The sequence below is a fragment of the Homo sapiens genome, chromosome 6 (genome assembly GCF_000001405.40).
Source record: "Homo sapiens chromosome 6, GRCh38.p14 Primary Assembly".
Lineage (NCBI taxonomy): Eukaryota > Metazoa > Chordata > Mammalia > Primates > Hominidae > Homo > Homo sapiens.
Window position 1 is genome coordinate 37,469,643 of NC_000006.12, and position 11,973 is coordinate 37,481,615.

General features: G+C 51.2%; 1 protein-coding gene across 3 annotated transcripts in view, besides 1 other annotated feature; it reads left to right on the plus strand.

The window, feature by feature from the left end:
- The window catches only part of CMTR1 (cap methyltransferase 1), a 57,524-nt gene extending 45,658 nt beyond the window's left edge, over positions 1-11,866 (plus strand). For all 3 annotated transcript variants that reach the window (XM_047418463.1, XM_047418462.1, NM_015050.3), the window contains 11 exons: positions 1,379-1,435; positions 2,205-2,262; positions 2,777-2,845; positions 3,828-3,959; positions 4,882-5,004; positions 5,679-5,770; positions 6,484-6,552; positions 7,950-7,997; positions 8,767-8,879; positions 9,505-9,613; positions 10,371-11,866. In XM_047418463.1, the coding sequence (XP_047274419.1) occupies positions 1,379-1,435; positions 2,205-2,262; positions 2,777-2,845; positions 3,828-3,959; positions 4,882-5,004; positions 5,679-5,770; positions 6,484-6,552; positions 7,950-7,997; positions 8,767-8,879; positions 9,505-9,613; positions 10,371-10,503 (1,003 nt within the window). In that variant the 3' untranslated portion in view covers positions 10,504-11,866. The remainder of the gene's footprint in view (positions 1-1,378; positions 1,436-2,204; positions 2,263-2,776; positions 2,846-3,827; positions 3,960-4,881; positions 5,005-5,678; positions 5,771-6,483; positions 6,553-7,949; positions 7,998-8,766; positions 8,880-9,504; positions 9,614-10,370) is intronic.
- Positions 10,841-11,541: an enhancer, noted in NCBI's record as "NANOG-H3K4me1 hESC enhancer chr6:37448259-37448959 (GRCh37/hg19 assembly coordinates)". NCBI's record gives its function as "activates a minimal SCP1, AML or CMV promoter by ChIP-STARR-seq in naive H9 embryonic stem cells {active_cell/tissue: H9 hESC(naive)}" and the evidence as "EXISTENCE:reporter gene assay evidence [ECO:0000049][PMID:30033119]".
- Positions 11,867-11,973: the final 107 nt, after the last annotated feature.

The following is an 11,973-nucleotide window of genomic DNA, read 5'->3' on the forward strand; positions in this document are numbered from 1 at the left end:
TCAGCCTCCTGAGTAGTTGGGATTACAGGTGCCCACCACCATGCCTGGCTAGTTTTTGTATTTTTAGTAGAGACAGAGTTTTGCTATGTTGGTCAGTCTGGTCTCGAACTCCTGACCTCAGGTGATCCGCCAACCTTAACTTTCCAAAGTGCTGGGATTACAGGTGTGAGCCACCGCACCTGGCCTAATATATTGTTTTATTCTTTCCTCTGCTTCTGGAACTCCAATTATGTTTATGTTAAGCAGTTTGCTATTGTCCCCAATACCTAGATGATCTGTTTTTTTTTTTCACTTTTTTTCCTCTTTTATGTTTCAGTTTGGGTTTCTGTTGACATGTCTGTCCTCAGGTTCACTGATTCTTTCCTCTACTATGTTCAGTCTGCCAATCCCAGCAAAATAATTATTCATCTCTAACATATTTTCATTTCTAGAATTTCTATTTGCCTTTTAAAAATATAGTTTCTATATCTTTGCTGAAAATCTTCACCTTTTTATATATGTCATTCACCCTTTTTTTTTTTTGAGATGGAGTCTTGCACTGTTGCCCAGGCTGGAGTGCAGTGGCGCGATCTCGGCTCACTGCAAGCTCCACCTCCTGGGTTCACGCCATTCTCCTGCCTCAGCCTCCTGAGTAGCTGGGACTACAGGCGCCCGCCACCACGCCCGGCTGATTTTTTGTATTTTTAGTAGAGACGGGGTTTCACCGTGTTAGCCAGGATGGTCTTGATCTCCTGACCTCGTGATCCGCCCGCCTCAGCCTCCCAAAGTGCTGGGATTACAGGTGTGAGCCACCGCGCCTGGCCGTCATTCACCCTTTCCAGTAGATCTTTTAACATGTTTATCACAGTTATCTTAAAGGCCCCATCTGAGAATTCCAACATTTGGGCCATCTCCGGGTCTTGTTCTGTTGGCCTGTTTTCCCTCTTGTCAATGGGTAGCATTTTCTTGCTTCATCGTATGCCTCATAATTTTTTTATTAAATGCCAGACATTGTGTGTAAAGAACAGTGAAGACTAAAGTAGAAAGGGTGGCTGTTAGTATACATAGGTCGAGTAAGCTTAGTCTATAGTTGAACTGAATCTGGGCTTTGAATGAGCTCACCACTACTTTCAGATTATTTAAGGGTGGGATTAGAAGCTTCCTTTTAGTAGGACTTGGGATCTAAGAACTGAGTGACCCAGTTTTCCTGTTCTACCCTCATCCTTCAGTAAGCCCCACATAACTGCACTGTGGGGTAGGGGTGTGGGTTTCTTTCTCAACTCTCCAGCTCCTTCACCAAATATAGATGGCCACTGCTCCCGTTTAACCTCTCTGTCCTGATGTCAGTTACCTGTCTTTTTTGGTAATCCTGAGATCAAATAATTTTTTTTTCTTCTAGCCACTGTAGTCTGCAGATCAAAGCTCTGGCGAAAATCCATGCCTTTGTTCAAGACACGTGAGTGTTGCCCACTTTTCAGAAACCACCTATTTCAAGGGAAGATCTTGCTTTTCCTCCCCACAAGCTGTTTGTTTTTTTCATTTCAACAAACATTTTAAAACACCTGCTTTTTTCTCATACTCTGCTATGGTCTCTGAAGGATGCCAGAGAAGCATATGACATGAGCTTTGTCCCCAAATACTTTACATTGTCTTTGGGCAGATAAGAGTAACCCAGGAAAAGGATACAGGAAAGGTTATTAACAGTGCATCAGAGGGTGTAGAGTGGCATGGCACAAGTAGAATACATAATGTTCAGGGGACACAGAGTAAAGAGTGATCAAGAGAGGAGAGGTAGGACTGATCAGAGAAACCTCGGGTAGGGGGTGAACATAAGCTAATTCAGCTTTGTGGGGCATGGTGACATCCAGTGGGATGGGTTTAGTGTGGCCTGTGTCAGCAGAAGAGGAGCTAGAACATGCTGATGGGTGATTGAAAAGGGTGTCGGGGAGGACCCTGGCATCCAGGTCGTCTGGAGGGCACTTTCTCCTTTCCCATTGTGGTGAGAAGGGCAGGTAATCCCATTTCGTGTATGTTTGAGCTCCTGTCTTCAAAAGGAGAGCCTTGCATGTGTTGTAATCACGCTGGGCCAGTGGCAGCATAGTGTCTGTGTGTACACTCACATGTTCATTCATTCAGGCCTCCTCTCTATGGGATATGAGGGGTGCACAGGGGGCACTCCTGTGCCTCTTAGAGATTTTAATCACTAACTGGCTTCATATTCCCAGGACACTGAGTGAGCCTCGACAGGCAGAGATACGGAAGGAGTGCCTCCGACTCTGGGGGGTGAGTATCTCCCCCGCCCATTGCTGCTTCAGGGCAGGGAAGCCATAGAGAAGAATGGGGTTGACTCCCAATCCTGTCACCTTAGGGTGTCTCTGCATCCAAAAATATCTGCTACCCTCACAGCATCCCAGAGGTTGACATCTCGGCATTGTTGGTAGTTACGTCCTTGGCCCTTTCACTGCTGGTTTGGCCCTGCAGCTGGGTCAGAAAGGACTAAGGGGTGGGGTGTGGGGAGGTGGGCCGGTGTCAGTTTTGCAACTGGTGGCCCCTTGTAGCAGCACTGACAACAGAGAGCCCCAGAGAAAAGGAAGTAGCCTTTGGGGTCCATTGCCACAGGATCTGAAAGGGAGCAGTGAGTGAATTATCCACCTCCATCCCTGTCAGCCTAGCCTCCTTTGTTGTGTGCCATTCCTCCTCCCCAGTCTGACCCTATCTCCTCCACCTGCATATACTCATACACGGTCTTGGTCAAAAGGGCATTTGAAAGTCAAAGCTCTTTGCTGTCTTATTTCAGATCCCAGACCAGGCTCGTGTGGCTCCTTCTTCCTCCGACCCTAAATCGAAGTTCTTTGAGCTAATCCAGGTAAGACTGGTATCTGTGGTGGACATAAAAAGTTAGAGATCTGTCTCTAGATGTGGATGGTATCACTGAGGCCCCAGATGCATGGTCTCCAGAGGGCTTGTGCAGATGCCCACCATGGGCTCTAAGGGGCGGAGCTAAGGCTGCCACAGGTGGGAACCTTTGGTATAGGGTGTTGAATTCCCCAAGAGCACAGTCAGGCCAACGGAAGATTCTCATGTTCAGTGCTTGGGCTCAGCATTCCTGCCACCCAAAGGGTGGTTCTGGCTGTGTCACCCTGGCAAGTTCAGGGTCCTGTGGGATTTGCCTACAAAGGAGACATAGAGTGTGGGATGATCTTAGGCAAGGGAGCTGGGCACAGGGTGAAGGGAGCTGCCAGGGAAGCCCGCAGCAGGGTTGGCCTAACCCCAGGTTCTTTGTCTTATTTCTGGTGAGCTGGTCCTCAGAGTTCTTTTGCCCTGTTTCTTCTACCACTCAACCTCCAGCTTTTACTTGGGCCTCATTTAAATCTGTCCCAGATCATGGGCAATTGTGCTGGTTTTGTGGGGGTCAGGGAGTAGAGACTGAGGTTCAAGATGCCCTCAAAAGAATAGTATGTGTACATTTTTCTAAATGGGGTAAAGAGATCACTAAACTGTTCTCAAACCAACTGCTGGAGAATCCTTGCTTTGAGTTTTATTGAAGGGGCAGCTTTTATATTCTGGTGACATTTTCTTATAGGTCTGGTAAATTGATCTGTACTTGGGGACTCAGTGTTCTTTCCTTTTCCAGCCTCTCCTAATAGGTCCTACAGGAACATTCCAAGCAGATGGAAATAGATCCCATTTAGTGCACAGTTAGGTAGAGAAGGGGGTGCAGGGGAGCATATTTCAGAGAGCCAATGCTTCCTGTCCCTTGCCTTGTCGAGCCTGCCCCCAGCCCAGATAGGCACCCATACTGTCCCTTCCCCCAACCCGGCAGTGTTTTCTCTGACTCGTGGCTGCAGGGCACTGAGATTGACATCTTCAGCTACAAGCCCACACTGCTCACCTCTAAAACCCTGGAGAAGATCCGCCCTGTGTTTGACTACCGCTGCATGGTATCTGGCAGTGAGCAGAAGTTCCTCATCGGCCTGGGGGTAAGTCTGCAGCTGGCTTCCTGCCCAGCTTGGAATGGTGGATTTGCCCTTTGCGGAATCTGGACAGCTGCCTGCCACACTTGGTACATGTTCTCTTGGCATTAAGTAGCTGTTGCTTTGACCCTAGTGAAGGTATTTCTTGAAACTTCGTTTCCTTTCTTCCTCTGAGTTTGCCAAGTGTCATTCATTCATTCTTTCATTTGTTTCTTCAATTCTGTGCATTGCTAAAGGGAACACTGCTACTTTTCTTGTGATACAGAGCTTCCCAGGCTAGCAGAGTGGTCAGCAGGCTTATCTGGCTTGAGCCCAGGCAGCCATTCCTTTGCAACACCACCACCACCCCATGCCATCCCATCCCCTGTCTTGCAAAGATACTCCCTGTCCCTACCCTGGGCCCCCTGGAGTCTAAAGTGAGGTGAGGGAAAGCCTTGGCAAGCTCTTTATCTTACTTAACTGGGTAAAGTCATTGCTTTTTCTTTCAACTCTTGACTTGTGTTTCTATATAATTTGATCCTGTCTTCCTCAGTTACTTCTTTTGTACCCTCTCACACTTTGTCTTTTTCTCATTTTACTTACTCTCTCCTTCTCTGCTCTCTGGACTCTTCACTAAACCCACCTTAGACATATACGAAACTGGATCTTTTTTGAGGGCCACTAATTATGGACTTAGGTCTTTTGAGTGGTGCCCTGCACCCGTTCCAAGGCTGAGCCAGATCTCTGCTTCTCTTCTGCTGAGGCACTGGAGAACACTACTATCATTATCACTAAAGTATAATGGATTTAATCTCTCATAGACATTTTCTTCTGACATTTCCCAGTCCCATCAGTTTGTAGCTGCCAACTAAAAGCTCTTTTGAGAAGTAAGCCTCTTATCCCTCGATCTCCATGCCTTCCTTACCTGGCTGTTTCTCTCTGCCTGTAGAAATCCCAGATCTACACATGGGATGGCCGCCAGTCAGACCGCTGGATCAAGCTAGACCTGAAGACAGAGCTGCCCCGGGACACTCTGCTATCTGTGGAAATTGTGCATGAGCTGAAAGGGGAGGTCAGAGATGGTTCTGCTCAGGTGTTGGCCCTGCAGCTAGGGGACTAGGGGGCTGCTGAACCTGGCCTTTTGCCCTGAGTTAACTTGGTTACATTGTGTGGTGGCTGACAGGGCCCAGGGCTGGGGTAAGGGTTTATAATGACTCCTCCCCGAGCAGTTGCTCTAAGCCACAGTGGTTCAGGTAAGGAGGAGCGCAGTCTCCGTGCGTCAGAGGAGACCTCGATTGTCTCTGTGCATTGAGGGCCCTGGTGAGTCTACTGGGTATTTTTTAGCAGCTGATTTAGTTTTTGACCAGAGATCCCTTGGGAAACAAGAGACTTGTTTCTCAGGAGCCATGAGTATGAAATCTATATGGTGACATTCAGAACAGTCAGTAGGAGCAACTGGCAAGGGGGGTAAGCCAGATCCTGGCTGGAGTGCCATGGCAGCAGCCTCACTGGGTTTGAGGTTCAAGGGGCCTTATCACCCAATGCCTTGGATCTTACCCTGCTCAGAAGCCGAGGCCAGTCTGATGCTGAGGAGCAGCTGGGAGGGAGACAAGAAAAATATCCTGCATTTAGAGCCCTACCCTTCCCCCAGCTGTAGGCAGAATGGAGCCAGCATGCCATGGTGGGTAGTGGGGGCTGAAGGCTGACACCTGGCAGAGTGGGCAGTGTACCTACTTATCCTTCTAGGGGAAGGCCCAGAGGAAGATCAGTGCCATCCACATCCTCGATGTCCTTGTGCTGAATGGCACCGACGTTCGGGAGCAGCACTTTAACCAGCGGTCTGACCTGGGCCCCAGGGTAGGGAGGGTGGGGGTAGGCCAGGGCAGCTTGGGAGGACAGCGGCCTCCCGAGGTGTGGCCCCTTATCTAGGCCTTCTCTGCTTGTTGACATCCTGAGAGTTTCCCCCTCCCACCCACTGACTGGTCCCAAAGTCAGGGTGAGAATTGGAGTTGCCACTTCAGAGTTTGCTAGGGCTTGGGCCCTGGTTATCAGAGATACCAGCACACTCCATTTTGCCACAGCTGCTCAGGTTGAGGTATTTATGTTAAGGTTGAGCAAGAGGGTGACCTTGCGGGTAGAGGGGGTACTCCTTGGAAGAAATATCCTGTGCTTGAGTGGTCCCATTTAAGTTGCTCATCTGAGTGGGTGCACTGTAGTTTCCATGCTTTGGGGTGACAGGGCAGACACATACAATAAAGATGATACTTGAAGTTCTAGTGGAGGTGACTGAGCACAGCTGAAGGCACACTTCAGGAAAACCAACCGACATAGTGAAATTAGAGGTCAGAATCCACAGGGGCGGGGCATGAATAAAGACGTCGGTGGAGAAGGGCAGGGCGGGCTTCCTGGGGGACATGGGTGCTGCCTCTTAGAGCAGTCTTGCCGCAGATTCAGAAGGTTCTCCTACTGGAGCTGTGAAAATGCCCTGGGGGTAGGGGTGCTGGTGGAGGCATCCTTGGCTTGCCTCTCAGAGAGACTGTTTGGATTGTAGAATTCAGCTTGCCGAGAAATTTGTGAAAGCCGTTTCCAAGCCTAGTCGGCCCGACATGAATCCCATCAGGTGAGCATGTGGTCCCTACCCTCCATGCTTCTTTCTGGCCAGTACCTGCTGCTCCCGTCCAGTGAGGGACAGGAGGGCTCAGTGGAGGGCACTAGGCAAGTGGGTGTTAGAGACAAGACCATTCTTGCCATGAAGTTTGTTTGGGGGTGCTAGGTAGGTGACTTGCCCCAGAGCATCTCCCCATCCTGCCTGGCAGTGGGTGAACTTCATTCTGAGGGGTTAAGGCATCCTTGTTTAGGATGCACGTGCTTCTGAGAGTGCCAGCCCACCTCATGAATACCCGTTCCCACTTGAGCATTGTTAGCACATTACCTGGCCTTTTAATTTTTTTTCAGGTAAGAAATGGGTGCTGAGGGAATAGGAATTTTGAACATGAAAAAGAGAAGGATTGTTTGAGGGAATGGGACCCCCAGTGCTGAGGGAGAAGGAGGCCAGGGTTGTAATGTTAGATAGTGGGAAAGTTCCAGGACCCTGAGAGAGAAAGGAGGAAGAGAACAGAGTCAGGAGGAGACAGATGGAGGACACACTTTTCCAGGGTAGGCTGAGGTCTGAGGTTATTGCCAAAGGGCACTGCTTAGCCCTGCTCTCGGGAGCTTCATGCGGCTGGAGACTGAGGTATCTATTTACACTTTATCCACATTGTTTTTGTTCTTTTTAACATAAATTTACTTAGTTAAAATTAAATCCAGTATTGAGAATGCACTTTATAGATGGCATGTGAAAGTTTCAAAGGAATTTCTTTCTGCACTTTAAAATGTCCTGTCTGCTAGGTCCTGAAAGACAGCTCCCAGGGGGAACCCTGCCTTCATTGCTTGTGGTTTGGTTGCTCGATTTCTGGGAACGTTCCCCACTAGCAGTTCCAAAGACATGTTCAGGGCCCCCAAGAGCTGAGCATGGGCATCAAACAAGAGCCCTGCATTCTTGTTAGGGTTTCCCCACCCGCTGTGGGTAATAGGACTATTAGGACTGTTTAGCAGTAACTTGTTATGGAAGGCCTAAAATCCATGTGGACAGACCTGGGCAAGAGCCTACTCCTTTGTTTTCTGCCCTCTGGTGATGGTGAAGATGACTTGGGGGTGGGAATGCTGACAGAGACATCTTTGTCTGCCAGACTTTTCTTCCTCTTTCTCCCTCCTGTCTTCAGTATCCAGTTTCACTCCCCAGTTGCCCTGACGCAGGCCTGAGGAGGTGCTTGGCAGCTCTGAAACCCAGGGCTTGTCTGTGTAGAACAGCCATGTTGGCAGGCTTGGTGTCCTCGCTGCCGGTGGGCTGGGTGGTTTCAGGGAGGGCCTGGGGCAGAAGCCAAGGTCAAGTGCAGTCTCCTGCCTCCCAGCTGCCTCCTGGATGAGAATGTCCCCCAGGAAGCCTTTGTCTTGTCTCTGTCCCTCTACCTGCAGGGTGAAGGAGGTGTACAGACTGGAAGAGATGGAGAAGATTTTTGTCAGGTGAGTGACTTGACCGGTGAAGCTCAGATTCAAGAGGAGGTGGGGGTGCGGCCGTGTCCTGTAGTCATCCTCCGTTTCATAAGATGGGTCGGGGGCGGGGGGTGGTGAGCTGCCTCCAGCGGTCCCCTCACCTCATCTGCCTCGCTGCAGCACTGCTTGCAGTCAAGAGTCCCCCAGCTGACAGCTGCTTCAGCATCCTATCAGGAGGGAGCCAGGCGGGCTGTGTCAGGCAGAAATACGGGCTCATTGATGCTGTCATAGTTACGATGGGCCCTGCGAGGGGCAGAGCAGCAAGCTGCTTGAAATACCATAAATCCCAGCTCCCGCTGCTGAGAGAGAAATTGAGCCTGGAGGGGTAGAAGGGGCATAAATGCGTCCTTATATTCTTAGTGGTGTGCGGGTGCTCACAGAACTCAGTCTCCTTCTGGGTGTGCTTATGTAGAGGTTACATTAACTCTTCAGTGGCTGCAGTGTTGCCATGGGCACCCGTGGTGTCAGATCTCACCCTTACTGGTGTCACCCTGAAATCCCTCAAGCAGCAGTGACACAGCAGGGTCATTTGTTACTCCCCTGCCTCCACTGCCTGAGTGGGAATTCAGGGCCTGAATTCTAAACTCAGCATGGCCACCCACTCGGCTGTGTGCCTCAGTTTCATCTTAAGTCAAACCAGGATCAGATACTGCAGTTGGGGTGATTTTATTAGTCAGAGACTAATTTTATCAGCCAGGGCCTTTTCTCTCTCATGCACGTACCTTCTCGGGGAAATCAGGTTGGAGATGAAGATCATCAAGGGCTCCAGTGGCACCCCAAAGCTCAGCTACACAGGGCGTGATGACCGGCACTTTGTACCCATGGGCCTCTACATCGTCAGGACAGTGAATGGTGGGTGAGGAGGGACTGTTCCCGCCATCCCCTCCCCTCTCCCCTCTCCTCGCCAGGTGATGGGTCCAGACCCTACCTGAGCCAGAGCGAAGGGCTCCCAGCTAAGGTGGGTAGCAGCCAGGCTGGCATTTCTCTGAGGCATATGTTAGGGGACAGTGTTCCCTGAGCCTCTTCTGTTCTTCCGTGGGCCCTGGGAGTTGGTTAGGCAATAGGGAGAGGAGCTCAACTTGTACACACGCACGTGTTGTTCTCATGGCAGGAAAAGGGCCTTCTCAGTAGACAGCAGCAAATCCAGAAAGTCAAGCTTGGTTTCTGTCCATTTGCATCCCCCTTTCTTCAGAGCGCTCTGGCTAACAGAGTCCTACATCTGTCAGAGTCCTAGAGATGTTACCCTGATGGAGGGTTGGCAGGACTGGGGTGGGGTCGTTGAGAAGAAGTCATCGCGTAGTCATTCTCCTGCAGCCCCTTTGGGCTGGTGATGAAGGCTGCTGCCTCACGGGCTATTCCCTGCTTGCTTTTGGTGGGAGGCAGGAATAGGACCACCGGGAGTGGAGGAAGGTACACGCCTGTCCTCCACAAGTGCTTTGTGTCCCTTCTGGGCTTCATCCCCTCTTCCTCCCATCAGAGCCCTGGACTATGGGATTCAGCAAAAGCTTCAAGAAGAAGTTCTTCTACAACAAGAAAACCAAGGACTCTACTTTTGACCTCCCTGCAGACTCCATTGCCCCATTTCAGTAAGTAGCTCTCCTCCAAGCCTGCCCTCCTTAGCAGCCTCAAGTACTCCTGCAGGATGCCAGCCAGCTGTCTTGGGGGCACACCCTGGGTCCTGAGACTGTTGCCCATGCAGGGGTTCCCCTGAGCACAGGCCTGAGAATACTTGTGGGGATGGCAGCCCCCTGCAGGTGTGGCTGGACCTGGGTAGAGCTGGTGAGGGAAGCACGATGCCTGGACCTGCTAATGGTTACGGGCCTGGCTGTGAAGGCCCATCTGGGCAGCGTATCCACCCCATGGAGCAGCCACGTTTCGGTGACATTCCAACACTGGCCTGATGGTGGGAACCTGCTGAGGGCCCACAGCCCTGCCCCTTGGCACTCAAGGTCCCAGCTGTCCCTCATTAGGACCCGGTGTCCATTAGTCAGACTGTTGGTCATAGGCTTCCCCAGCAGCCCTAATGTGCCTGTAATTAGCCACTGACATTTTCTGTCACCACACTACTAATACTGTATATTAGAGAAGCACAGACAGATAAGTCAGGAATATCAGTCACTGTAGGAATCCAGTTGGATGCAATTAGCAGCAACAGCTGTTTGTTGGGAAAAGTTGGTTCTGGGAGGCAGGGGAGTTAGGGCCTACCGGGTACCTTTTGCCTGCCGGGGGAAGAACCTCAACTAAAGTCATTGACAGACCCCTCCGCCCCACACCCTTAAGAACACATGACCCTGTGCCATCTGGGTGCAGTCCTGACCTCTTTCCCATCCCTCTCCTCCCCAGCATTTGCTACTATGGCCGGCTCTTCTGGGAGTGGGGGGATGGCATTCGTGTGCATGACTCCCAGAAGCCCCAGGACCAGGACAAGCTGTCCAAGGAGGACGTCCTCTCCTTCATCCAGATGCACAGGGCCTAAGAGCCTCAGAATGTGCCACCCCTGCAGAATGCCCTGTCATTCCTGAGATGGGGCCACCTGGGGCCCACAGTGCTGGCTTCTTCCCCCTCTTGAAAAGGGACTGGGGAGCATTGCACCTGGCATGAGGAGTGGGTGGCCTCCTCTCCATCCCCTGAAGAGCTCAGGCAGGGCCCTGCAGAGAACACTCATGTTCCTTCTGGGACACCTGCCTGGGAACTTTCCCCTGCCAGGACTCAGCCTGAAGGAAGCTGCTCCTGAGGCAGGTATGAGGTCAGTGCCTAGGGCACGTGGGACTGATGGAGGACATATCAGAGTGGCAGAGCTGTGGGCTCTGCTGTTCTCTCCTGCATCCTGTAGACTCACTTTTCTGAGTTCCATGCACTGCCCTGAGGGTAGCCATGCCCTTGCTTTGCCCAACTTTTTATTGGGCCATCCCTGAGTGGGTGGAGACCTGCTGTCATGAGCTGGCCAGGAGAACCTGCTATAAAAAAATCAAGGTTTTGTTTCTTTGAACTTACTCTGTTTTGATGCCAAATTGGAGACCATTTTCTTGTCTCCTTCCCCCACTCATCCTGGCCTTCCCTGGAGTTCTTCCTAGCCCAGAGCTCTGACAGTCCAGCAGGGTGGGAAGGAGGGAGTTTGGGCAAACTCTCATCCCTGATACCACATTGAGATCCTGGGAGCCCTCTTTTCGTACTGAGTATGGAGTTGTAGAGCCATCCTAGGTGCCATCCCCTTTTGGTCCAAACATTGGGCAGCGCTAGATGGCAGGAAGCAGCCTTGAAGACCCGTCTTTCCCCCACAGCAGCAGGGGCCCCAGCAGTAACAAAGGGTACCTCCAGGGGTTTGGGTAGCGCTGCCCTCTGGCAGTCATGCACCGCTGTCTGCCATAGCCGCTCTAGGGTCTTGGCAGAATTCTGAGCTTGAAGTGCAGCTCCCTTACTACCCTTTCCCTTCCTTTTTCTTCCCTAATAGGAGGTACAATCTGCTTTTGTTTGTCGTTAAGTGGTCACTCCCATTTCCTTTATCTTGGCCGACAACACAGAGAGGAGGGGGAGCTGGGCAGTAGCTTGGGGTGGGGGTGGGCACCTGTGGTTGTTTTTAATGGGAAATACCTCTCAGAGATGTTCATGCAGGCTCCCTAGGGCCCCATCCCAGTGCCAGGCTGGTTTCCATGGAGATAGGGCACTGAGGCTCCCGTGAGGTTGGAATCGACTTCACCATGGGGGTCCTTCAGCCAGCATCCAGCTCCCCACCCCCAGGCTGGCAGTAGCACTGCTGAGATGCTGTATTTCCACCCAATTCTGGGTATATCAGTGTGTCTTGCAGAATCTTGGATCATTAAAGATAAACATATTTTTAATGCCTGTGTGGCTCTGTGTTGGGGCTGCTGCTGTTTGTCCTCAGTGCTTTGTGATCTGAGACTGGCTTGGATGAAACAGCTTGAGCCAGAGGTGAAGGGGAAGCAGC